At 47.0% G+C, this 27,687-nt stretch overlaps 1 long non-coding RNA gene across 1 annotated transcript, besides 7 other annotated features; it reads right to left on the bottom strand.

Annotated features, from left to right (window-relative positions):
* Positions 8,560-8,609: an enhancer, noted in NCBI's record as "active region_13446". NCBI's record gives its function as "activates an Ori minimal core promoter by ATAC-STARR-seq in GM12878 lymphoblastoid cells {active_cell/tissue: GM12878}" and the evidence as "EXISTENCE:reporter gene assay evidence [ECO:0000049][PMID:35858748]".
* Positions 8,650-8,699: an enhancer, noted in NCBI's record as "active region_13445". NCBI's record gives its function as "activates an Ori minimal core promoter by ATAC-STARR-seq in GM12878 lymphoblastoid cells {active_cell/tissue: GM12878}" and the evidence as "EXISTENCE:reporter gene assay evidence [ECO:0000049][PMID:35858748]".
* Positions 8,720-8,789: an enhancer, noted in NCBI's record as "active region_13444". NCBI's record gives its function as "activates an Ori minimal core promoter by ATAC-STARR-seq in GM12878 lymphoblastoid cells {active_cell/tissue: GM12878}" and the evidence as "EXISTENCE:reporter gene assay evidence [ECO:0000049][PMID:35858748]".
* Positions 9,000-9,129: an enhancer, noted in NCBI's record as "active region_13443". NCBI's record gives its function as "activates an Ori minimal core promoter by ATAC-STARR-seq in GM12878 lymphoblastoid cells {active_cell/tissue: GM12878}" and the evidence as "EXISTENCE:reporter gene assay evidence [ECO:0000049][PMID:35858748]".
* Positions 16,622-16,681: an enhancer, noted in NCBI's record as "active region_13442". NCBI's record gives its function as "activates an Ori minimal core promoter by ATAC-STARR-seq in GM12878 lymphoblastoid cells {active_cell/tissue: GM12878}" and the evidence as "EXISTENCE:reporter gene assay evidence [ECO:0000049][PMID:35858748]".
* Positions 16,712-16,781: an enhancer, noted in NCBI's record as "active region_13441". NCBI's record gives its function as "activates an Ori minimal core promoter by ATAC-STARR-seq in GM12878 lymphoblastoid cells {active_cell/tissue: GM12878}" and the evidence as "EXISTENCE:reporter gene assay evidence [ECO:0000049][PMID:35858748]".
* Positions 16,812-16,941: an enhancer, noted in NCBI's record as "active region_13440". NCBI's record gives its function as "activates an Ori minimal core promoter by ATAC-STARR-seq in GM12878 lymphoblastoid cells {active_cell/tissue: GM12878}" and the evidence as "EXISTENCE:reporter gene assay evidence [ECO:0000049][PMID:35858748]".
* On the bottom strand, positions 18,510-27,212 carry LOC105372161 (uncharacterized). The gene is made up of 3 exons (XR_935570.3): positions 26,801-27,212; positions 25,262-25,364; positions 18,510-19,686 (listed from the first exon to the last, which is right to left on the bottom strand). It is a non-coding gene; the product is annotated as an uncharacterized LOC105372161 (long non-coding RNA).
* Positions 27,213-27,687: the final 475 nt, after the last annotated feature.

Raw genomic sequence — 27,687 nt, 5'->3', positions numbered from 1 at the left:
AGGGTAAACCTCGGGAACAGCACTACCCAACAGAAATTAAATGTGAGCCACAGGTGTGAGCCACATATGTAATTTTTTTTTTTTTTTTGTCAGACGGAGTCTCTCTCTGCCACCCAGGCTGGAGTGCAGTGGCACGATCTCGGCTCACTGCAACCTCCGCCTCCTGGGATCAAGCAATTCTCCTGCCTCAGCCTCCCAAGTAGCTAGGACTACCGGTGCATGCCACCATGCTAGGGTAGTTTTTGTACATTTAGTAGAGACAGGGTTTCACCATGTTACCCAGGGTGGTCTTGAACCCCTGAACTCGCAATCTGCCTGCCTCAGCTTCCCGAAGTGCTAGGATTACAGGCATGAGCCACTGTACCTGGCCGGCGTATGTAATTTTTAATTTGTTAGTAGCCACATTTAAAAATTTTTTCAATAAACCCATGAAATTAATTGTTAAATATATTTTATTTAACCCAATTTATCATGTTAACATATAATACAAAAATTTTGAGATAGGCATGTAGGGAAAACTCTCAAACTGTGTCTTTCCTCTACCATCATACCACAACAATCATCAACACAGAAGACTTCTGTGACCTAATGTATGGGTATTTTTCCCCACACACCAAGCAGGGAACACTAGCTGGCTGTCCTCTAATTCAGTTCCAACACTGTCTACCTGGAGACCTTGTCAGATCCCACAGGTTGAGGGCTCAGTCCCCAAGACTGCCTCCGACCACACCAGTCAGAAGTCCAGGCCTTTGGAACTGCTGACCAACAAGCTTCAAGTTGGGGTCCCCAGAGCCCCCTCTTTGGCTTCAGTGAATTTGCTGGAGCAGCTCACAGAACTCAGGGAAGTACTTACTTATGTTTACCGGTTTATGGTAAAAGATATTGCAAAGGATACAGATGAAGAGACACGTGGGATGAGGAATGGGGGACAGGGTGTGGAGCTTCTACGCCCTCCCTCGGTGCCACCCTCCAGGAACCTCAGCATGTTCAGCTGTCTGGAGGCTCCTTGAACCCTGTCCGCTGGGTTTTTATGGAAGCTTCATGATGTCAGCATTCCTTTCCCCAGGGCACAGGGTAGGAACCACTCATAGGAAGGTCTTAAGGACCTCAATCAGCTGCACGGAGTCTCTGTGCAGTGGACCTAGGCTCCAGCTGTGGCTACAACATAGGGTTTTTATACAAGAAAAATAAAGTGAATTAAGCCTGAAAAAAAGAAAAGAACCTCAATCAGAAAAGCAGTAGAGTCCTGCCCTGGGGCAGGTGAAAAGGGGCAGAAGTAGGTCAGAGACTTAACACACCCAACATCATAATAAAAGATGGTAACAAAGGCTATGCGAGTCACAAGCCAGGAACCACGGAGGAAAACCAGTACCTATCATAACACCACAATAGGCTATTTTTTTTTTTTCATACTAAGGCTTTGAAGTCAATGTGGAATTGACAGTGGCAGCATATCTCAGTGTGAGTGAGCCACATTTCAAGTGCTCAAGAGCCACATGTGGCTGGTGGCCACCATGCTGGACCATAGCACCGGACCAGACCCTGTGTACAGATATTTGACATCTCATGCACAAGTGATGTGTCTGCAAAACGACTTCCTCTTCAGGCCCCCGCTGCTCCCCACCTCACCCCATACTTGTTAATTAAGTTGTTAAAACAGGAAAACATCTTCTCCAACTCCCTCAATTCTCCTTTTTCAAGCTTAATCCAAAAAGGTTCTTACTTTTGAAACAGTTGTTATCAGTTCAAAGGGGAAACTAAATCTGAAATGTGTCCAGTGGAAGGATTGCAAGTCCTCTTGACAGGCAGTAAACTCTTGATATCAGGTCAGGGTTTGAATTCTGGCTTGCTAAGTGCACGACTTTGGGCAAAACATGTGGCCTCTTTGCATCTTTGATCATCAGTTCAATGGGTTGTGACACTTGTCCCACCATATTCTACCAGCCTCATACGGGGTAGTGGAGTCAGGGAGATCAAAGTGATGAATGTGAAAGAGTTTTCATGCCACATAAAATGGAAAATAATATTATTTATTATGAAAAACCATTAAAACATTATTTTCTGTGCAGCTACAGAAAATAATAAATCCACAATAGCTACGCAGACAGTGTAAAGATTCAAAGTAACAAACTGAACCAAAGAAGCAAATTCCTGTAATTACACGTCAACAATTTTCTCAACTACTACCAAACTTTGACTTGTCATTTTTATTTACAAAGACAGAGAGGGAATAATAAACGTCCCCCAAGATAATAATCAACTGTGGTCCTTGGAGCCAGGTACACAACATGAGAATGCATCTTGATAATGGCTTACAATAAACTTAGTTATGATCTTGACAATGACACTGCAGAGAGCATCACATGTGGACCTTTTTTTCAAAGACCAACAATTTGAGATATCTGCAGAGACTTCCTGCAATATCTCTGCCCCATAACCACCTGGATATTTCCTTGCAGTGATAGTTTTTAGATTAGTAACATTAGCTTCTAACATTCCCTATGACACCACTTAAAACTTACCTCCTTATTGTTTTATTTAAAATGAGATCTGTGTGCCAGGGAATGGGGAAATAGGTTGTCTTCATTCCTAATTTGTTCTCTCCCAAGTGTTATTTAAAAACAAAATTCCAATTTTGGGCTTTTCCCATTTGCCTTTACTAATTACTTCTTTTATGTTCCACCCATTTGTGCCATAACTAATTCAAGTTCAAATAGAACTTAGTCACTATTCCATCACAGTCATCTCCTGCTCCTAGAGAAGTCATCCACACGCCACAAAGACAGGAACCAAGAAGGCCTTGGCGCTTCATGAGACCACAAGTGTTGTCCCTCTGATCCAATCACGTGAGACCAAATTTGTCTGGGTCCAAGAGTGTAGAACGTGTCCTTACCTCCAAATTCACATGTGCTAGTTGTACGGCATGTGGAAATAAATGCAGACCAACCAAATGAGAAAAGCAAAGGCTATTTATTCAGAGCTTGCTATATATACTAAGGGAGTCGGCCACTCACTATCTTTTGCATTTTGGCAGAGAATCAAAGGCAAACAGATAAGTGGGAAAGCTTTAAAATGGCAAAGAGGGAAGGCTTTGAGCTCACCCTGATGGGAGGTTGTTGGCATAGGGTGGGGGCGCCTACATGGAGGTGGGCTAATTAGAAGCAGGACATCCTACATGAATAATTAGAGGTGCATATTGGCTTTCTCTGGTTGGTCCTAAATTGGAATCAGGGAAGAAAATCAAGGAAGCAGTCCATTATTAATTAACTCCTGGCCATTTGGGGGCAATTGTACAGAGGTTATTGTCTGGCTTCATGGGTTGTTTCTACAGACAGTGATCTGACTTCCTGCAAGTCTGATTTATAGCAGACCTGTTTCCTGGGCCGGTAACAGTAGGTCATGAGCTGGTTTCCTGGGCTGGCTGCTGTAGACTGTGGGTCTGAATTCTATTTTTATATCTGGTCTGGCCATTGCCCATTTGTATATTCAGTCTCTCAGCTGCAAAACAAAGCCAGTGAGGATGACAGGAACCTAGAAAGGAATAAACTTGAATGATCAGCAAATTATCAAATGAAGTCACCAGACTTCTGCAACACCCTGGCAGCCACCCAGCAATTTGCTAATGACATCCTCTAAGTCCTCCTCTCCCACTCCATAGCCACACCTTGGTGACATTTTTTTGTCTCCATTGCCACATTATATGAGACAGTGCTTCAAGAGCACATGCAATCCTGCAAAAACCACCAAGATGTGCAGAACTCAGATGCAGGAATTCAGCCTCATGTCTGGAGGCCTGATGATGCAACAGGTTATCCAAAGGGGATGCTGGGGTCCCAAAAGTTTTCTGAGATAAAGAATTTGGAAGCATCTCCTTGAGTTCCAGCAATCCTAAAATGTTTTACCACGGATTCTTTGGAAGAACTGCATCCACTTCCAACCACTACAAGTTGTTTTAACTATAATGTAGTGGTTGGGCTTTAAGTCAGATGGAATCCAACCCTGGCTCGGATCGTATAATTTCTAAAAAAAAAGCATAAAATAATCTACCTTTTACCCAGCACCTAGTGTGTGGCAGACACTATGCTAAGTGCTTCAGATACATTGTCTCCTTTAATCTGTGGCAACAGCCTTATGAGATGAGTACCTTTATTTTGCATTTTATAGGTCTCACTGGGCTAAAATCAAGTTGTAGACAGAGCTGCCTCCCTTCTGGAGGCCCTAGGGGAGAATTGTATCCTTGCCTTTTCCAGCTTCTAGAGGCCCCCCAACATTCCGTAGGTGGTGACCCTTCCTCCCATCACTCCAGCCTTTGCTTTCCTCACTCTCACTCTGATCTGCCTCTCTCTTACAACAACTCTAGGGTTAGGTTGGGCCCACCCAGACAATCCAAAATTCTGCCCCCATCTCAAGATCCTTAACTAAATCACAACTGCAAAGTCAATTTTACCATGTAAGTTTACATATTCACAAGTTTCAGAACATTTGGATGTGGACATCTTTGGAGGAGTCATTATTCAGCCTACCACCACAGATAAAGAGGCTGAGGTTCAGAGTGGTTAATTTATTTTCACAAAGCCTCATAGCTAGTAGTAGTGGAGCTGAGGTTTGACTTTTCCAACTACATCAGGCTTCCCTTTCTGAGTTCACCAGTTTGGCCCTTGAAACCAAACTCAGCATGGTACTATGTATGTAAAGTCTAACCTTCACCCTACTCTTCCTCAGTGTATTAGTCTGTCTAAATTAATGCTGCTAATTTATAAAGAAAGAAGATTTAATTGACTCAGAGTTCCACATGGCTGGGGAGGCCTCAGGAAACTTACAATCATGGCAGAAGGCACCTCTTCACAGGGTGGCAGGAGAGAGAATGAGCGCCCACAGGAGTAATGCCAGATGATTATAAAACCATCAGATTTCAAGAGAACTCACTATCACGAGAAAAGCATGGGGGAAACCACTCCCATGATTCAGTTACCTCCCACTGGGTCCCTCCTGTAACATGTGGGGATTATAATTCAAGATGAGATTTGGGTGGGGGCACAGCCAGACCATATCACCCAGGCCTGTGGGTCCCCACCACCACCACCAGCTGGTGCAGGCAGCTCCCAGCCATCCATGCCATCTTGAACCAGAAGCGCCAGCCTTCAGGGAGATGGTCATCTGCAGAAGAGAAGTTCTGGTGCCCAGAAGTGCCTCTCTGCAAGGATTAGCCTCCTCCAATTACACAGCCACAGCTCAGCAATTTTCTCCAGTTTCATTTCATCTTGCCCTCACCGCCACTCTGAATCTCTCAAAATTCTTCCCTAGCTCTATTCCCAAAGTATACAGGGATAATACCTGCTGTATAATCGTTCCTGTCCCCATTTCCTCCTCAAAATAGGTCAAGAGTAAGGAAGAATACCTTGTGGGACCAAGAATTATTCCCAAGAAAGGGAAATTTACCAGCCCCTGAATGGTTAGGGTGCTGTGAACCAGCAGCCCCATCAAGGAAGCTGCATGCACATCTCCAGGCTGAGTCCCAAGTGGGAGAAAGGCCCATCCCGATAGGTGGAAGATACTCTTGGAACCACTATGAAGACCCCATCATCTGTCCTTCCTTAATCCTCCCTCTTGACTGTCAGAAAATTCAAGGAGCCCTTGCTTACTCATATGGGGTAGAATTACAAAAGAGAGCAGCATACCAGTGTTGAGTTTGCTAATTTTCTGACCTTCTGGGCTCTGAATTTGACTCACCCAGATGTGTGTCATTTGATTGGTGCTCTCTGACCCGTCTGGACCTAGTGTCTTGCCCTCTGCATCCTTACAAGTTGGTTTCCTATTCTGGCATGCTAGCCTCCTATCATAAAATTTACCCCAAACGCTCACCAGAGCTTCTACTGCTGCCCCAGTTTCGAGGGTCTGCTCAATAAACTCACATCCTTGGGGGACACAAGCATTTCATGATGTCTTCTCCAACAAGTCGAGGCCCCAAAGTCAGAGAAACACAACCCATTGTGCCAATGGTAGACACTATGCTGCTCTCTTTTATATTTTCTTATCGCATATGGTAGGGTGGGGGCTTAGAAGAACATAGCAGAGGTATTCATAATAAAGAAGAAATTAATAAAGACCACAGCAAGCCCAGATTCTTTATTTTATGTTCTCTCTGTACCATGGTTCAGTTACCTGTTAGAATAATTGCAGATCAATTTCATTGAGTTAGTAACTAAAAACAATTGCCTAGAATTCCCTTTGATCTCTCTCCATAGCGACAAATTGTATACAAAGAAGTCTAGCAAGAAAGGCGACTCTCAGAGGAACTTTTTGGGCCCCTTCTACAGGAGGACCTTTTTTGAGTCCTCAAGTGCTGAATTCCCCCATCTTTAACACTCAATGGCTCTTTGTGTTGATTTCTGCAATGGAGCAAGTCTTCAGCCCTCCCACCCTCTGTGAATTCTGGCCTGCAGTGAGACCTTGCATGAGGCACTGTGTAAATCCTGGACACAGTTGAGTGAGAGAGACATTTATTGTCTGTCTTGGCTGTAAGGGAGGCTAAGTGTTTATGAAGTATGTTAAAGACACACGTGTCGTGGTGAGCCTGTATTACTGTCCTCTCACCCTGTGTCTGACCAATGATGCCGACAGACTGTGGACGTTATAATAATGATTCCTATGACTCCAGGGCACAGCTGGCCCTTTGGTTTTCTCATATAACTGATCTCAGGTTTCCAAGAGTCTTCAGGAGCATAATCGTATTAATAGCACACTCCCAGGTAAGGAATAAATACACCAATGTTTCTTGGTCTCCAAAAACTAATCTAGACTTCTCTCTTGTGAAATTTCACTGGCCACTAAAGATAAGAAAATCATTTCGATAGTATTGAATATATCACGGTGAGCCTCTCCAAAATGTATCCAGTGTTTTCATAGTTCAAGACCATTGTTATATTACATTATCTTACTTGTAAAAATCAAATTATATCTGAAGGGGAATATTTCTTTCAAAAATCAAGACTTAAATAAAGAACATCTTCCTCTGATAAGAATTCCAAAATGGCCAGGAAACATATTATTATACGTTCCTGGATATTCTTGGAAAAGTCATTTAAACTTTATGGGTCTCCGTTTCTTATTCTAGAAAAATCAAGGCATTGGCTGGGTGATCTCTGAAGCAGCACCTTCCAATAGACCTTCCGCAATGACAGCAGTATTCTGCACCTTCACTGTCTGATACAGTAGCCACCTGCCACAGGGCGGCTATTGAGCACTTGAAATGTGACTGAAATGACTGAGAAAAAAATTAATTTAATTTAACTTAATCTAAATTTAAATAGCCACATGTGGCTAGTGGTTATGTATTGGACAGGACAGGTCCAAGGGGTTCCTCGTTGATGTAAATACAATGGAGAGGTAGAGGTGAATACCCCAGGGCTGAGCAGGAAGGCCTTGGGATCCAGGTCTATAGTTATCCTACTGCGGAGAGCTACTCCTCTGCTAAAAGGACCTCTCAGCCACTGGCAGCTGGATGCAGAAGGGAAGGCCACAGTACCCAGTAAACCACACACCCGCAAGACCACTTAGGCTCCAAAGGAGAAAGGATGAGGAACTGGGTGAATACTTATCAGGTGCAACTAACTAAGGGCATGACATCAGACGAGAAATAACAGAGCAGCCTCTTCCACCTTCTGTTCGGCCTTTTTGGATGTTCTCAGTCTAACTGCAGACACCGATGACTTGGCCACTACGGAGAAAGCGGGGACTTAGTCCTGTTAGATAAGGGAGCTGGCTCTCTGCCGCCAATCAATCAGAAAGCTTTTAAGATGGGAGTCTATGAAATATGTATTAAATACCAACAAAAAAAATGAATGCAATGAAGTTTTTAACTTAGAAGCACTCCTGGGAGCCAGGGGCCAGGTTCTCACAACATAAAACCTGTATTAAGACCTCATTCCAGATAGGACTCATATCCACCTTCCTAGGGGATCAGTGAGGTCCAACAGGGTGTTTCTCCTCTTTGGGGTGGGAGGGAGGTCTGAAATTTGGTACTCTTCTGTGCTCCCCCAGAGCTAATTCCCTTCTGAAAGAAACGAAAGCAACAGGAACACTCATTTGTGCCATTGTGTTTTGCACAATCACACGCCTTTCAATTGCCACATTAAAAATTCCTCCCAGGGCCCCATGGAGTTAGGTGATTATGTTTAATATAACCTTCTGGGTTTTGGTTTCATGCAGACTAACAAAGAATATGGAAACATGTAATTCCATACTGCCCGAAGTACTTCTACAATTTGAGCCTCAATTAATGTTTGTTTACTTATCTGCTAATCTCACTATTTTTTCTAAATTCGTTCTCAGTAAGTGAGAGTGCAGAATCTGACGTTCAGTCATTTCTGAAATATGACCAAAATGGAAACCTCCCCAGAGAGCTATTCAATGGGGGAAAGGAAAAACATAAACTCCCAAATGAGTAACTCCGAGTGTCCTTTAATTTTCCTCTAACAGAAAACCATTTTCTAAGAGAAGGTATGTGCACAAAGAGGTAACTTTTTAGAAATTTACCAGTGATTTTATCATGGTAAATTGAGCCACAATCCCAATGAGAATACTTGCTATTATTGTTAGAAATGCATAGAGCCTGTATTTATTTTCAGAGGAGTTTGGTATCATTTTTATGAGTTGCTCCTCACAAAAAGCAAAACAGAAACCACCCTGAACCTCTAAGAGGTAGATCAGATTTTATATATATATCTCTCTCTCTCTTTTTTTTTTCCAAAGGAGGAAACCACATAAAATGATTTGCCCTGAGGTCAGCCAGCCCATTGGTGTCTGGGCTGATGTTAGAAGTTCTGGTCTCTAGACTCCCAATCGGCTGAATTGTCTCTAGAGCCTGGTCCTTGTGTCCTCAGTGGAGACATGCATGTAGCTAGTAGCTACGCCGACAGACAAGTCTTTCTTCCTAAACACTCTTCACTCTTACCATCTAGAAGTCCCTGAGGGCTCAAAACTGCCCCACCAGTGAGACCTTCTAAGGTGGTTCTTTTGGTTTCTTTGCAACACCCTCTGGATGGAGTCCGAGAGAACTTCTTATTCTGAATTCTCTTCTGTAGCAAGCCAGTCGTATTGCCATTTTTACTGTGATCTGGCCATGACCCCCAGGCTGTTCTGACATCCCTGTTGATGTCTTCCCTGGGGCAGAATGTTCTTCAGACAGAGGATGGCTGAGTTGTAACTACTCATATGTGAGTGTAGGTCTTCCAGGCCTGGCCAGAGCTGCCAAGCAGGATAAGCCCATCATGGTCCTCAGCAAGGATAGAGAAGGGCCATTGGCAAGGTGAGTCCACTCCCGCCTGCAGGCCTGGCACAATGAGAGCAAGTGCGTTGTCCCAAGATCCCCTCAGCAGCACACTCTGGGGAAGAGATCCCAGTTGCTAGGGAAGGTTAAAGCAAGGTTCAGAAAACAAAACAAGCAAGAAAACTCAGTAGGTCAGTGAAACAAGAGCCTGGGCTCTGCACCCAAAGTTCCAACTTAGCGTATCATCCACATTACCCATGACGTAAGGGCGACCAGGCGCCACAATATTTCTCAGAGTGTTCTGTGGAACGCCAGCTGCAGGAGGTGCTTGGCAGAAACTGGGTTTCATGGTCAAATGAGTCTGAGAAACACTGCAGATTACATTTCCCTCTGCAGTCATATCAGCATATCAAAGGTTATGAGAAGTTCCACAGTAGGCCGGGCATGGTGGCTTACGCCTGTAATCCCAGCCCTTTGGGAGGCCAAGGCAGGCAGGCAGATTGCTTGAGGTCAGGAGTTCGAGACCAGCCTGGCCAACATAGTGAAACTCCGTCTCTACTAAAAATACACAAAAATTAGCTGAGTGTGGTGGCGCACGCCTGTAGCCCCAGCTACTCGGGAGGCTGAAGCAGGAGAATCTCTTGAACCTGAGAGGGGGGGCTGGCAGTGAGCCGAGATCACACCATTGCACTCCGGCCTGGGCAACAAGAGTGAAACTCCATCTTAAAAAAAGAAGTTCCACAATAGAGCAATGACTCTATTACTCTGTTACTCTGTTCAACCCAGAACACTCCAAATTTGACCACCCATAGGCCTTCTTTTTTATGGGACACTGACTAATGTACCATGGAACACTTGGGCAGATGTCTGTCTGCTCCATTCTCTCCTCTCCTGCCATCCTCCACCTTGAGCCAGGGCCATGTTGCCCACTCCTGGGTGGTCTCCCTGCCCTCTGGCATCTTCCAGGAAACCCAGACCAACTCATTTGTTCTAAACACCCGTTTCTCCACATCCCTCCCATAAGCAAAGAACTACCATGACTCTCTACGTCCTCCTGAGATAAGGCTAGGATTTTCTGCTCCGTCTTGTGTCTCCCATATTGACCCTTCACCCTCTCTGGGCAGCCATATTTTTTCCACTCAACACCACACTCCCGTCTTCCCCCAGGCCGGTCCTGAGAGGTAGGACTGAGAGCAGGGGCTTTGGAGGCCAACATGAATTTGAGTCCCATTGCTTTTCCTTCTGGACCGCATGACTCAAGCCTCTCTGAACCTTGGTTTTATCATCTGCAAAATGAACATAATGAGACCTGACTCAGGGCTGTGGTAAGCATGAGGCGAGCTAACACATGTCACTGCGGGGCCGGGCACATGGGAAGCTCAACAAGTGGTCATCCCTCTCATTCAGAGCCAAACATCCCCAGCAAACCCCGCTTCAGATACACTCACACTCATACCAGCTTCGAGGATTTCTTCCCCTCCTTCCCCCTACGTAGGCCTTACTCATCCTCTGGGGCCCCCTCGTTCCCACCGCCCCCATGAATCCTTCCCCGAAAATCCCGGCGCAGAGATCCCCTAGCCTGCACTTCTCCTGCAGGCATGGGTTTGGTTTTCCTCTGTTTCCACATGTTCCATAACGTTTTCCACCTGGTCCCCAATAGGACTGCAAAGTCTTGAGTGCAGGAGTCTCATCCCCTCACTCTGCGTGGTCCCATAGACCTGTGCTCTATACAGATGAGACGAGGCCTGCTTGTATATTCACATTAGGATGAACCTGGAGTCTTTTCCTCTTGGCTCCTTCAAAACCTTTTTCGTTCTCAATTTGCTATAACCTTTGAAACCTCGCCGTGTGGCATATTATAGAGAAGAGAGAAAAACTCAAAGGTGTGCTCTTTTTTTAAAAAAAATCCCAAATACCAGAAGGAAAATCCACACGTTGATTTCGGGGTTCATCATCAACACGCACTTGGTGAGCACTTTCTCTGGGACTTTGGGAAAAACCTGTTCTGGAAGGGCCCTTAGCTGTAGGAGCCAGGTACAGGGGACTGAAATAAGTACCCAGCCTGCTCCCCGACAGCTGCGGAGAGGAGAGAGCAGCAGGAGAGGCGCATGGAGAGAAAACGGCCAGGGGAAAGTTTCCAGAAACCCCACCCCAGGGGACACTGGGGTTTCCGGAAAGCAAGGAGTGACCCCCGCATTCCACCTACTTCCCCCCTACTAAAGGCTTCCGCAACTCCAGGGAGTCCTCCCCTTTTGAAGCTGAGCCTCGGCATCCTCGCCTACCTCCCTCCACCCTGCAGCAGAGAGGGCTGCCCCCAGCTGAGGATGGGGCACAGCAGCCAGAGGCTTCCCCGGTCTTCATGTCGGAAATCCTGTCTTTTCCAGCACATGCACACGCCACATACACCCCCGCCACACACACACACACACACACACACACACACACACATACATCCCCACACACAACTCCACACACCACACACACACCCACCCCATACCACATCACACCACACACACATCACACCACAGCACAACACACCATACACACACATACCACACCACACCCACCACACACAAAATCACACCACACCACACACCATACACACACAACACACTATACACACACACTCCACACCACACACACAACATACCATACCCCACACACCATACACACATCACATGCACACACCACACACACACAGACCAAATCACAAAGCACCACACACAACACCACACACATGTGACACCACACCACGCGTATCACACACACCACGCCACCACACACACAGACCACACCACAAAACACCACACCACACCCATACACACCCCCACACACACACAACACACAGAGCAAACCACAACAAACCACAAACACCACAATGTGCCACAACACAACACACCACATATCACACTACACCACACCACACCCATATTATACACCACACCACACCCATATTATACACCACACCACACTATACACACACATGCACACACCACACACACACCAAACCACACATCACACCACATGCACAACACACATCACACCACACACACACCACACCACACATCACACCACAAACCACACTACACACCTGCACACACACCACACATCACACCACACCACACATCACACACACACCACACATCACAGCATACACACACACCACACACATATCATACCACACACATCACATGTCTCCCACCAAGTTTCCATTTCAATCTGTGACATCATCCTCCTTTCAACCTCTTGTCCTAGTGTGGACAACTTCACATTGGAATGCCGAATAAAGAAGGGTGTGAATTCCTATCGGTCCATCAGCGCCTCTTCATTATGGCTGAGCTAATTTGCAAGGAGAGGATTCCCTGCCTCCACCTCCACATCCCAGGAGGAGCTTCTTACTCAGCAGGTGTTCATCTACTCGCTCACAGCAAGTGACAAGAGGCTGTGGATTCCCAGGCAGGCCCAGTTGGGAAAGCTCCCACCAGTGACCTGGGACCGTCAGAGCCATGATGGGGGATGGAGAAGCAGACCAGGAAAAATATTTCTTTTCTTTTTCTTTTTCTTTTTTTTTCTTTTTTGGAGACAGAGTCTTGCTCTGTCGCCCAGTCTGGAGTGCAGTGGCACCATCTCAGCTCATTGCAACCTCCGCATCCTGGGTTCAAGCAATTCTCGTGCCTCAACCTCCTGAGTAGCTGGGATTACAGGCGTTCGTCACCACTCCTGGCTAATTTTTGTATTTTTAATAGAGACGGGGTTTCATCGAACTCCTGACCTCAAGTGATCCGCCGGCCTCAGCCTCCCAAAGTGCTGGGATTACAGGCGTGAGCCACCGTGCCTGGCCTGTGTTTTCTTATTCTTCCTTTTTGAGACGGAGTCTCGCTCTGTCACCCAGGCTGGAGTGCAGAGGTGCGATCTCGGCTCACTCCAAGCTCCGCCTCCCGGGTTCAGGCCGTTCTCCCGCCTCAACCTCCTGAGTAGCTGGGACTACAGGCGCCCGCCACCACGCCCGGCTGATTTTTTTGTATTTTTAGTAGAGACGGGGTTTCACCATGTTAGCCAGGATGGTCTCTATCTCCTTCTTAACCAGCTCCAGGGTGAAGAGTACGTTTCCAGGAATCTCATTTCATTACCAGTGAACTCTGTTGTGATCAACATTCACTCTCTTAACTTTTTGTTCACTTTAATTCTTAGAATCAGGCGTGGTAGGCAAACAGCTGACACTCATTTTCTCTGTCAAAAAGGCAGTTTCGAATTATTGGTGAGCAACTGGTGGTCGCATAGGAGAGGGGAGAAGGGGAGAGTCCGGGGAGTGATCGATTGGGGGACGGGGATTAGGCATGCATAGCAGAGCCAGGGAGGTCACGTTGGGGACCCGCCATCCTTGACCACATCTGTTTAAATTCAGCCAGGGTAAAACATTAGCGCACAGGAAGGCGGCTTCACGGGGAGGGAAAAGAGGGTGAGCTCCGCCTCCCTACACCCTAGGGCTGGAGGCTCAGCTCAGAACAGGAATCAGATGGTCCAGGTAGAGAGGCTATAGCCACGGCGAAGACCCAAAGCCAGGCCATTCCGGACGCTGGTTAGCTCCTGGGGGCGGGCCCAGGAGGGACTGGGAGGTGGGATGAGACCCTCCACCACTCTAGGAGAATGTGGGCTCGGAGCTAAGCTCACACACGCACGCGCTCCACAGAGGCTCTGTTTACAGCATTATGTAGTTGCACAGCCTTTATTCAGGTTGGAGCTTTAACACCTTGAATGTGCAACAGAATCGGTCAAATCCCGTTTTGTTAGGGACATGGTGTTTTGCGGAGCCTCCTTCGTGGTGTCTGAGAGAGCAGTGGCAGATAGCCAGGGGCTCAGGCCCCAGGACCCCACTTGCCCTGCTGGGAGTGAGCCCAGTCATGAAGTCCTTGGCCTCCCAGAGCCTGTGTCTGCACTCAACAGCTGAGCCTGGAGGAGCAGAGAGCCAGAAGCGTCAGGTCCTCCGAACTGGATATTCCCCTCCACTCAGTGCCCCCAAGCTCAGAGCTTGGAGAGAGCCACACATCGGCTGCCTGTGCTGCTGGTCCCCTGGTTCAGGAGGGTCGGGTCCGCTGTGCCCAGGAGCTGCAGCCTCAGGTGCAGCACCCCATGGCTCTGGAGATGGCACCTGTGCAAACCGTGGGTGGCCCTCCCTCTTTTCTCTCCTGCCTTCTTTTTCTTGGCCATTTGAGGGTCACTTTTCTCTCCTATTCTTTTTCTCTGGTCTTGAACCTGAGGCCTATCAATCCACTTACAGGCTTGGCTTAAGCTACCTTGGAATTTTAAAAGAAAATTGTTGCCACCTGCCCTGGATGGTCCTGATGTTGCCTTGAGATCTACAGTGTCTCAAGTGTGGGTAAGACGAAAGTGCCAGAGGCTCGTATGCCACCTGAGGCCTCATGCTGAATTCGCTTACAGTCAGTTACAAATGCTTTTTAGATCTTCAATGCTTCTGTGAAGCCTCATATTTGCTGTTCAGACAGACACTATAATGGAGATGGAATAAATGGACAGCAACTACACAGGACGGTGTGGGCAGATGGTGTTGGAGCGAGGGGTGCAGGTGGAGCCCACAGGAGAGGAAGGCTGATTGATCTTCTATGGGGAGAGCTTCATAGCACGGGGGTGGGGGCACCTGACTGGCAAGCTGTTTGGTGTGAGTTTGGGGATGCAGCTGTCAGGGAGAACATCCCTTCTTGAATGAGCAGAAGACTTCATGAATCCGCTGAACATGCTGCAGCACTAAATTCACTGTTTGCCACATGGCCAAGCTCATCTGCTCATCACAGTGGAGCTGGTGGCCTTGGCGTTATGGGCTCCCAACCCTGGCCAATGACATACGACAGCCCTGGGCACATCTTGAACCATGAAAGGAAGGCACAGGCCAGATGCCAGATACGAGGCTGATGCTTAAATGAGTGAAAGAAAAAATCACCCATCATCCTCCCCCCACCCCACCCCCAAAAAGCCAAAACCTAATTCAGACCAACCTGAAAACTAAAAATAAGAGATGGAGAGGAGGTGGAGAAGACAGCCATCCAGGAAATTCGTTTCTGACCATAGGGACTGAAAAAGACTTGCCTCTGCCCTCAGTTGGCAGAGTGGTTTGTTGTGCAACCTGTGAGACTCTGCCCAGTACCTCTTATCTGGGCTGTCAGTTAAACTGACACGGCTGACTCTCCCCACAACGGAGCTGTAATTAGCTCAGATGCCGGGCTGGGACAGGCCTGGGATGGGGCACTTCCAGGTGCTGGTGATAGACAGGGGCCCACTCCAGCAGTAGTTCTGTTGGCGCTGTGCTCCTTCCCCACCCAGGCTAAGGGTTTGCGCTGCTCCTCTGGAGGCCATGGGACTGGCTGTGCACCTGCAGGCCCATGGTGCAGAGCTACAGGGCACCACAAGCTGTCCACATGCCCACGTTAGAGTTTCACTCAGCCCTTGGCCTCCCAGGGAGAATCAGAGCTGAGTTAATAAGTGAAGCATTTACAGGCCACCTCATACTCTTGAAAGATAAGGAGAGCCCTCAACCTTGTGATAGATAAGCATTGTTCAAGAGCAGAAGTCTCCAGGGAAGACGTCTTGGAAAATCCATGTTTTCTATGGTCAGGGCTACCTTAGCCTCCCAGACCCTCCCAGAAGGAAGTAGAGATAGAGGGCCATGTGTCTGCTGGCCTGGTCTGCCCACTGCACATCGTGGGGCTGTGGGTGATACACTCGGGACACGCTGCACAGCCCGGTCCTGAGCCCTTCCCTGGACTCTGACGGCCCAGGTCTGGCTCTGCCCACAGCCCTGCTTTAGGCCGTGGCTCTTGCATACTTTGGCCTCCTGTGAACATTTAAAAGATGGTGGTGTCTGCCCTCATGCATCTAAATAATAAAAACGTTTCCAAACCACAAGTTTTAAAATCCCACAAAGCTCTGATTTTCTCATGATGACTGGCTGCTGCTGCTGCTTCCGACTTTCCTTCTGCCCTCCTTCACCTCCTCTTTTTCTTCTTCAAGTGTCGAATTCTTTCAAATGTTTGTTTTATTTCATAACCCTGCTTGCTGATGCCCTGAGCGTGGGCTTGCTCTGTTGTTTGGTAGCCCAGTGCGGGCCGTAACCTTGCTCTTAGCAAACAGCTTCCAGCTGGGAGATGTGCCCCTTGGTCACCAGGACCAAACCCAGTTACTAGTTCTGTTGATGCCAACAAGTCTTTCAATTACAGCGATGGGTACAACTGGTCTGCTTAGAATGAACTTGAGCCTGGAGCCCAGAGACCCAGGTGCCAGTCCAGGCTCTGCCTGCAACTGACCAGCCCTCTCTGGACTCAGTTTCCTCATCTGTAAAGTTACTAGAAGGCCACCGTGGTCGTTTCCAGCTTCTGCAGGCCACACCCTTGCTGTCATGGGATTCAGGCCAGGCCTGGACAGCCTGAGACACCTCTGTCCTTACTGCTTCTGGCTTAGTCCTCATCCCAGAGAAGGCTGTGGGTCAAGACAGTGCCAGGAGGTTGGGCAGCCGTCCACTCCCAAACCCAACCAGGGATTGGGATCAAGCAGGGAGCGGGGTACACTCAATGCCCACACCTGATGTGCTAACCACTGGGTGAATTATTTTCACTTCTGTGAACAAGGCCTCTGCTATCGCTTCACCAAGAAGCCGGCCACATCTGAAAACCACCGGTGTTGCGAGTTGTCTTATGGAAAGTGGAAACAGGCAGGATGTGGTTTGAACTGACAAAACACCAAGGCAGCCCATTCCTCAGGAGGGGCTTTAAACAATGGCATGGAGAATGGGGGAGGAGATCATGTCTTCTGACTTGGAGCCAACTGGCCATTAAGGCTGGGCCGGCAAACGAGCTACTTAGGACCAAGATGGTAAAACAACAACAACAACAACAAAACACACGCACAACAACCGAGAAACAAAAACAAATCAACAGTAGTATTCCTCCTTTCAGTAGTAAAACTCTGCATCTATACAGCAACTCCCACACTGAAGATGCTTTCACACTCACTAGGTGCTTGCTCTTGATGACCTGCAGAGACAGGCGGAGCTGTGTTAATATTCCTGTTTTGGGGATAAGAATCCTGAAATAGGATGACGGCTGTGAAGACAGGAAGTGTCAAAGTGGTCCCAAAAGCCAGGACTCCTGAAGCCTGACCCCAATTCAGCATCTAGTTCTCCTGGCCCTGTGTAAACACAGCCCCATTCGAGAAAGGCAGCACTTCCTGTGACACCACAGCACACACCCCCGCCTTGGGTTGGGGGTGCATCCCCCCAAATGGATGCTGCGTGAAGGCAGAGGGCTTGAGGGCTTTACCACATACTCCCTGTGCCTCACACCTCGCTGCCCATTGAGACACTCCACAAAGTCTGATAAATGAACAATTAATTATAAATAATGAAAACACCGAGAGGCCACTCATCTCCAAAGATTTAGGTACAGAATTTGCCCAGCTGTGATAGGATCTTATGCGGAAAAGGTTTCTGTCTTGCCTCCTAAGCCAGTTGGATGAAAAGTCTTTTCCTTGGCTTTCCTGGAAAGGAGAAACATTAATGTGAAAAGACAGGAGTGAAATGAGTTCCTGGAAATTGACAGTGGTCCATTTCTCTGCACCTTAGAATTTGCTGCGCTTGACTCCCTTACGTGCTGGTACCACTCCTGTGAGATAACAGTTTCCCTGTGTTCCATCTGCAAGGACCTTCCTTGGTGTGTTGGTTGACATTTGATGGCTTTGCTGAGAGGTATTGTTTTGAAGAAGGTAACAATCCTAGCGCTCTTGTTGACTGGCTGGCTTAGCCACATTTGGGGTGGTTGTTCTTCTGAATGACTGTGGGGTAAGGGACACAGTGTCTCAGAGTCTCAGTTTCCTCATGTCTAAAATCGGGGCGATGATAAAAGTGTCCATAGCGTGGGTTAGGGTTAGGTCGTAAGGATGGAGTGACGTCATGGCGGGGCCGCTGGGAACAGTGCCTGGCATAGAGCAAGCGCCCAATAAATAGCAGCTATTGTTACTCTTGCAGGGTTCTTTAAGCAGCATAATAGTCTTTAAATCATAAAATCTCAGCCTGCGTTTTTTTTCCTCATAGACATTATCCAGAGCAGCAGACCTTGTTTAATGTTTCCCTGGCTTCCTTCCCTCTGTTTTCAGTCTCTGGGGAGGAGTGGAAAGGAAGGACAATCTCATGCTGCAAACGCCACCTCTGCAAACTCCTTGGATTAATTCACAGCACTCAACTGAAATGACTTTTTATTTTTAGCACACATGAGTATTTAATATATGATAAAGGTTACACCGCGCATCAGTTGGGAAAGGAAGGACCACTCAATAAATGGAGCTGGAACAACTGGCTAATTATTTAGGAAAATGTGAGTCTATTTTTACCTTTAACCACACACCAAAAACTTTATAGATGGATCAGAAATGAATGCCATCTCAAATCCAAAATCAAATATGTGTACTTCAGAAGGAGGAACGTCCTTCTAAACACAAAAGTGATAGAAAGACATAGAGATTTGACTACATAAAATACAAGCCTATGAAAATCACAAAAATAATGAAATCAAAGAGTAAATGTCATACCAGATGAAAATATTCATAACATAGGCAAGAGCCCATTACTTCATTGAGTTATTTGTCTTTTGATTAACTTGTAAGAGCTCTTTGTATATTCAGGAAATTAGCACTTTGGGTCTCGCATGTGTCATCTGCCATCTATCCACTTCTTTGTGGTATTCTCTGTCTCTCGGAAACTTGTAAGCCCTAAGCAGTTTAAATTTGTAAATCTAATAGAAATGAATTATAAGCTGACTTCATTGTATATATATCTATGTAGTCACCTTTGATGTCACCTGAGATCTGAGCTCTGCCAAGAATAACATAAACTGCACTATAGAACTGTTTGTTGTTGTTATAGTCTTAGTTGAGTGGATTACACAGAATTTTGGATCTATGTTCTCCTGCTGCCTTTAAAAAAAAAGAGAGAGAGATCTGATAACTATTTTTGTTGGAATTTGGACAGAAAGCTGCCACTCTTAAAGCCTTATAGCTCTGTCTATTTTCAACCCATGCCTTCATTTCTTTGCCTGAAAAATGAACCAAGTCACCAACTTTCACTGAATGTTTTCAGAGGCAGACCCCGAAAGGTTATTGCATCTGTGAGTGACCGCCTCCCTGTGGACTGGAAGGCATTGAAGGTTTTGTGATGTCATTCTCCCTATCTTTCGATGTCTTCTCCATCCATGTAGGCTAGATATCAATATCCCCCGTCCCTTGATTGGTTTCCATTCTGTTCTTTCACAGCTGAGCATGGGGAATTTCCAAACGAGAACTAGAGCAGGTAGGCATGGCAGCCAACGTTCCTGATGTCATTAGTTGTCTCTAAATCTCCGTGAAGTTTTTATTAGCTTCTGGTAACCAAGAAAAAAAAAGAAACAGCAAATCATTTGTTAAAGTCATGAAGCTGAACTAAATGGATAAGGTCCTCTAATTGACCTCGAGGAAGCTCAGGGACACTGTAGATCAGTGGTTAAATGACTTGTATGTCTAGATTTAGAGAAGATGTCTGGCTGCCGAGCAAATTTGTCTGCCCATAAATTTTTTGATTAGGCTGAAGGCTTCTGCCAACATAGCCAGATATTCAATTCAGTATGTCCTTCATTTGAGCTAATATCGTGACTGAAAGCACAGCAATCTGAGAGACATAGTTATTTAAATTTAAAATTGTGCTCACAGCTTGTTTCTAAGAGATCAATTTATTAGTCCAGGTGGGAGATAGAAATCCTCAAGGTTGTAGCTATGATGCTATTGGAAGCGTATTAATTGGAACCATGGGCTGAAGGCAGGAGCTCTCTGACTTTACACTGCCTGCCAAGGATGCCTTATTTTAAGTACGTCAGTATTCCTTGCAGGAAAATACTGTTACATATTTATTTTTGATAGCCTAGTTCAGGCTCCACAAGACATCACTGAAATGCCCAAAGTAAATTCTTAGTGTAAATCACTGGTGTTAAAGATAAACCACGAGCTTCTTGCCGCATCTCCATGACATCCAAATAAGGGTTCAGGTGCCTGTCGAAGGGGACAGCTTCCACGAAGCTGCGTGGAACCTGGGATTATTTAACAACTTTCCAACTCTTCACCCATTACAAGTAGAGATACATGGACAACACACTCCCTTTTAAATTGATGTATTTTTCTCTCTTTCTAAAAAGAATTCCTATTGCCGGGCATGGTGGCTCATGCTTGTAATCCTAACACTTTGGGATGCCGAGGCGGGTGGATCGCCTGAGGTCACCAGTTCGAGACCAGACTGGTCAACATGGTGAAACTCCGTTTCTACTAAAAATACAAAAATTAGCTGGGGTGGTGGCACATGCCTGCAATCCCAACTACCCGGGAGGCTGAGGCAGGAGAATCACTTGAACCCAGTAGGCGGAGGCTGCAGTGAGCCGATACTGGCACCACTGCACTCCAGCCTGGGCAACAGAGCGAGAAAGCAAGACTCCATCACAAAAACAAAAACAAAAGCAAAAAACAAAACAAAAAAACTTCTATTATTTTCTATCAAGAAAAATAATCTTGTATAAGAAGTATAAAAATCTGGATTAGAAATGCTATAAAACAAACAACAACAACAACAACAAGAAGCAAAAGACAACCAAAATAACTAAAAATTTTTGATTTTCTAGATCTTTCTTTTCCCAAGCAGGTAACCTATTTTCTTCTGAGTAGGCAGTTTCCTGCTATCAAACATAAGTCAAGAGCTCTCCCAATCAGCAAGTGTCAGAATGAAAATAAATAGGTATAACCTCTTTCATTAGAGACTTTTTTGGGAGTCTTTTCATGGGCAACTTTTGGTTTGGTTTGTCGCTTTACCAAGAGCTAAGATCTAGATAAGCAAGTATTCTTCGTGTTTCTCTGTCTGGGCGTTTTTTCTCGTTCAGGAATGGCACTCTTCAGGGATCCGGCTTTGTGTACTAGCTCTGGTCTAACATTCTATCTTGTGTGGTGCTGGGCTTAACCTTTGCCACCAGGGGCATAGCCTCTTAAAACCCAAGGTCAAGCCCACCATGGATGACAAATGCCTGTGGAACAAACAACAACTTTGGTCTTCTCTTCTGTCATTTGGGGGATTTGATGGCTTCCTTTTCTTTTGCCATACAAGCTATTATATAAGAGGGATTTCATTATATAAAAGAAGTTTCTCCAGATACCTTGGCTGCCATATGCCCACCTATGATTTCCTACTAATGGCTTCTGTCTTTTTTTGTTGTTGTTCCTACTGTAGTCTCTCTCTCTCTCTTTCTCTCTCTTTCCCTCAGCCTTTCCAATCCAATGCTCCTATAACCAATTCCTGTGTTAAATCCTCTCTGTTTGAAATACTTGATTTCTCTTTTCCTGACTGGACATGATCCCTCTGTGTCTCTGGCACAGACACCATCCCTGAGTCTGACTTAGCTCCTCAGCCCTGACCTTCCATCTTCCTACTCAGCTAAGAGAGAGCTAATGAAAAGAAAGAAAAGCTATCATAGGAAATCTTATGTGGGCAATATAGCAGCTGAGAAACTGCCGGTGCAAAGGGGGTTGTGGGAAAGAAAATACAAAGCTTAAATGAACCTAAGTAAATTGTACACATCAATCAATGCAATTGCATAAATTAGTGTACAGAAAAGAAAAGGAGTTTGGGAGTCAGCATTGGATTCAAATTTTCTCTGCCACTTGCAGGTAGGGTTATCTTAAGCAAGATATTTTCCTTATGTTTAACGAGTTGAATTGTGTCTCCCAAAAGACACGTTGAAGACCTAATCCCCAGTATCTCAGAATGTGGCCTTATTTGGAAACGGGGTCATTGAGATATTAATTAAGTAGATAAAGTCTTACTAGGGTAGGGTGGATCCTTAATTCAACATGACTGGTGTTCTTATGAGGAGACACAGATACCTCATAAGAGAGAAGAATGCCACGGTGGCAGAGGCAGAGATGGAACTGACGCAGCTGCAAACCAAAAAGTGTCGAGGGTCAACAACAACCACCGGGAGCCAGGAAGAGGCAAGGAAAGGTTCCATCTAGAGTCGGTGAGAGCATGGCCCTGCTGGCACCTTGCTTTCTGGCTTCCAACCTCCAGAACTATGACAGATACGTTTCTGTTGTTTTAAGCCATCCAGTTTGTGGTGCTTTGCTGTGTCAGCCCTAGGAAACTAGTGCATTATCTGAGTCTCAGTTTCCTCATCTATAAAGGTGGGAGAGTGATACTTTACAGTAATGTTCCCCAACCTTTTTGGCACCAGGGACTAGTTTCGTGGAGACAATTTTTCCACGGACAGGGGCCGGGGGGGATGGTTTCAGGATGATTCAAGTGCATTGCATTTACTGTGCACTTTATATTATGATTACATGGTAATATATAATGGAATAATTATACAATTCATGATAATTGTAGAACCAATGGGAGCCCCGAGCTTGTTTTCCTGCAACTAGACAGACCCATCCAGGGGTGATGGAGACAGCAACAGGTCATCAAGCATTGGATTCTCCTAAGGAGCCGCAACCTAGATCCCTCCCATGTGCAGTTCACAATAGGGTTCGCGGTCCTATGAGAATCTAATGCCTCCGCTGATCTGACAGGAGGCGGAGCGCAGGTGGTCATGTGAGCGATGGGGGGCAGCTGTAAATGCAGAGGAAGTTTTGTTTGCCCGCCTGCTGCTCACCTCCTGCCGCATGGCCCGGTTCCTCACAGGCCTAGGTACTATCTGTGGCCTCTTAGGAACTGGGCCACACAGGGTTTCACAGGTTGTGAAAGGGTTTGCCACATTCTTTCCAAGATTTAAATAAGGACATGTGTGCCGAGCATGTCCTCATGTGTCCTCAATACATGGTCACTGTTGGTGATGTTCTGCAATTTTGAGGGGGCTGGCTCTCCACAGGACGCCACTCCTGTCAACAGTGCTTGCCTCCCTACACATGCAAACACACACTACACACCACACCACACACACCACACACACTCACACAATACCTACCATGCGCAGAAATACACACTACACACCACACCACACTCACACACACCACACCCACTCTACACACCACACACACACACCCACTCACATTACACACCACACACACACACCACACCACACACACTGCGCCCACTCACACAATACATACTATGCACAGAAATACACACACTACATACCACACCACACTCACACACACCAGACCCACTCACACCACACACCACACACACACCACACCACACACACCACACCCACTCACACAATACATACCATGCACAGAAGTACACATGCTACACACCACATCCACTCACACACACACTACACACACCACACACACTACATGCCATGCCACACTCACACACACTACACACACCACACACCACACCCACTCACACACTACATACCACACCACACTCACACACACCACACCCATTCACACACACTACACACACCACACACACTACACCCACTCACATACTACATACCACACCCACAAATACACTACACACACCAGACTCACACACCACACTCACAAATGCACACACTACACACCACACCACGCTCTCACACACACCACGCACACCACACACACAACATCCACTCACACACTACATACCACACACAAATACACACACTACACACACCACACACACCACACTCATCCTACACACCACACCACACTCATACACTACACACCGTACACACACCACACTCACACAGATGACACCACACTCACATCATACCACACTCACACACACTACAAACCATGCCACACACACCATACCATACACCACACACACACACAAATACAAACACAACATGCTCCATACACACAAATACACAAACACACCATACCACATGCACACACACCCCACACAAACCACACTATGCACCACACCACATAGACCACACCAGACACGCACAAATACACCACACCACACACAAACCACACAAAGACACAAAGACACACCACATACACACCACATAAATCACACACATAACATACAACACACAACACATCATGCATATCACACTACCATAAACACACACACACACACACACCAGTAGCCTCTGCTCTGTGTGTAGCCCTGCATGTGTGGCAGCAAACTCTGATGTGCTTTTGTCCGTTTCAAGACTTCCAGGATGTTCATTTCAGCCAGGCCTGGCCTGTGTAGAGGTCTGGCCAGAGGGGAAGGGGTCCGAATCCAGCCGTGGCCCTGGACAGCGACCTCTGGAGAGCACCCACTCCTAGCTGGGCCCTGCCCAGCTGAAACTACTCCCTGTGGCATTCACCCCTGTGGCCTTAACTCAAAAGCACAAGGAGTTGCCAGTTACTAAAAAGTTGAAAGCAAAATGCATTTGTTTCACATTTGCCAAGGTGTTTGCCAATGATAGATTAAAATGGCCATACCTTCTCGTCCTTTAATGTGCTCTACTTAAAAAAAAAAAAAATCAGTTGCTGGTGACAACCCAACCTCAGATGGAGGGAGACAGAGCAGGCTTGGTTTGGTTTGGTTTGGTTGAGTTTGAATCCACGTGGGAAGCCCAGGGAGAGGGTAGCCCGTAGCCCCAGTTCCTCCCCAGGCACAGGCAGCCTGTGTGTCATTCTCACTAGCACTTAGGAACACTTGAAAATAATTTTCAAAGGAAGTAGGTAACTCTCCAAAATGTCCAGGGTGCAAATGAGAAACAGTCTTGCGGCCTCGCACACATGTGCCGGGAGAGCCCATGGCTAAAGAGAGAACACGCATGTGCCTGTCTTTGACGTTGCCTGGTTTCTGGCTACCAGCTGCTCAGAGCTTAAATTGGAGCTGTCACAGACCAAAGATGCTGCCTGCAAATAATATATGTGCTTGGGACTCCTCAGCAGCGCCAGCTTCTCCTCCCCTCCCTGTGGCTGAACAAATCTGCGCTCCTGAAGAAAAGCAGAACTCTGGAATTGACCCGCTCCCTATCTGAGTCATCTTACCTTTAAGCCATAGTTGGACGGAGCTTCAGAGCCTCAGAGCCATTAACAGTGCACCTCTCCCACAAACACACGCCTGCCTGAAGAGCAGCCGGCCCGGGGAACTCTAAACAGCAATTAGGCAAAATCTGAAATTACAGAGTTCTCACTCCACAGAGAAATGCAAATGATAATTTTGCCTCCTCCAAAGGCCCACAGCCTGATTTTGTCCTCCATCTGCAAAATCCTTCCTTCCACCCTCCAAAGAACTTCCCCAACGAGGCCTTCCTGGACAAGCCAGAAAGGGGGCTCATAGGTCCTCAGCTCAGTCTGTGTAATCTGCCTGCTGAAATCCTGGAAAGAGGGATGGAAGGGAGAAAGAGAAGGAAGAGAGGGAGAGGGAGGGGGAAGGAGGGGGAAAGAGGTAGAGGTTAGAAGAGAGACAGGGATCAAGGAAGGGAGGCAGGGAGAAAGAAAGAGAATTTCTTTTACATCGTTTTTACCCACCCCAAACATTAGTTGGACACTAACTATGTCCTAAGCACTGTCGCAGATAAAGCAAAGTATAAGATGTATAACCCCTTGGCTGAGTGCAATGGCTCACGCCTGTAATCCCAACACTTTGGGAGGCCAAGGTAGGAGGATCCCTTGAGGCCAAGATTTGGAGACCAGCCTGCGTAACATAGTGAGACCCCTCCCGCATCTCTACAGAATATATATATATTAGCCAGGTGTGATAGTGCTCGCTGTAGTCCCAGCTACCTGGGAGGCTGAGGCAGGAGGACTGCTTAAGCCCAGGAGTTCAAGGTTGCGGTGAGCTGTGATCATGCCATTGCACTCCAGCCTGGGTGACAGAGTGAGACCCTGTCTCTAAAATAAATAGATAAGATGTAACCTTTAGGCTCAAGTCATTTCCAATCTAGTCAGGAGAAAAAAAAAAAGCCAAACACAACAATTTACTCAAGCACTTAATTTGATGCCACAGGTCACTATGGCTGTGCAAATGCCGGGAAGAGAGAGACAGCTGAGAGCTGGAGGAGGAGATGCTTCGTGGAGGAGCTGGAAGCTGAGGCAGACCCCGATAGAGAAGTCGAATCTGAACCAGAGGAGTCGGGTGAGAAGAACCGGTCCAGGAGAGGGAAGACAAGCCAAGTCCCGGGGTGAGCCCCTGTGGAAGAAGCCTCCACACTTCTCTGATCAACCCTGCGGCTCCCTTAACACCACCAGGATTCCCTTTGTGCCTCCTTGTGCTTGGGTGCCCAGGGGTCCCCGAGTTCCTGGAGGGCAGGGGCCGTCTTTCCTGCTTTGCACGCCCAGCCCAGAGTACAGTGCCTGGGACACATGGCCACAAACGTAAATTGTGGATTGAACAGATGAGTGAACAAGAATAACATGAACTGCAAAGTAGGTGCCTGGCTGGAAATCTACCAGCCCATCCTTGGGGGGCTTTAATTCACTATCATCTCCTGTGTTCTTAAGAACCATCCAATGGGCTCTCAGTATAGGTTGGTAATGAAGTGGAGTCCAGGAGATGTCAGCTTAGAGGCCATCCCCACTCCGTACCTCTGGTGATGCTGTGAGATTCTCTGCCTCCGTTGAGGTTGTTGAGCTCTCACCTCTCCCGGCCCTGTTGCAGTTGTCCCGAAAGATTTTGCTCCAGAACCAGTGAGCTCTCCGCCTGGCCAGATACGGGGTTTCTTCCCTTCCTCTGACTCCTCTTATCCCTTCAGTATCATAACTGCAGCCACTGAGCCCTGAAGGTGACCCCGTAGGACTGGCTGCCCCTCGTTGCCCTGGGTGAAAGTCTTGGCTGAGCCTCCCCTTCTCCTTGGTCTCCACCCTGGGACAGCCCACCGAAGGCCTGCTCAGTTCCGGGTCCCGACCTTGACCACATTTCTAATTTTCCGGATCACAAGGGTTTCCTGGCTCTGGCCTGGGCTGGACCGGATGCTTTGGCTGTCTCAGCACCAGGTCTGACACAAGAGGTTCCTTGGGAGGCGGATCTGAGCTGGGACTGAAGCAGCAGGAACCCTGGGTAACAGGAGGCTGGAGGGTGAGGTGCAGAGGTAGGGAGAAAAGGCCATGGGGTATCAGAAGCTGATCGGAATTTGTGGTATGCAGGGCCTGCTGGGGGCAGTGGGGAAGGGGTCAACCTTGGGAGGGCCTTGAGCAAGGCATGGCATTAAGAATTTACCCTGTGGGTAGAAGAGGGCCATTAATGAGTTTTAAGCAGAGGGGACAAATGGCCAGATTTGTGTTTTAAAAAGATAACCCCTAGCTTTGATATTTTTTGCTATAAAGGGTTGCCTAGGTTAATGAATCACTTTTTAAATGTCCTATCTCATATGTACTCATCCATCAATACCCATCTCTCATTCATTATCCAGACACCCAGGGCACTCAGATTTATGAGGATGTGGGAGATAGTCAAGTGTACAATGGGGTGGGGG

This window comes from Homo sapiens, chromosome 18 (genome assembly GCF_000001405.40).
Source record: "Homo sapiens chromosome 18, GRCh38.p14 Primary Assembly".
Taxonomy (NCBI): Eukaryota; Metazoa; Chordata; class Mammalia; order Primates; family Hominidae; genus Homo; species Homo sapiens.
Note: the sequence above shows the minus strand (reverse complement) of the source record. Positions and strands in the feature narration are given on the sequence as shown.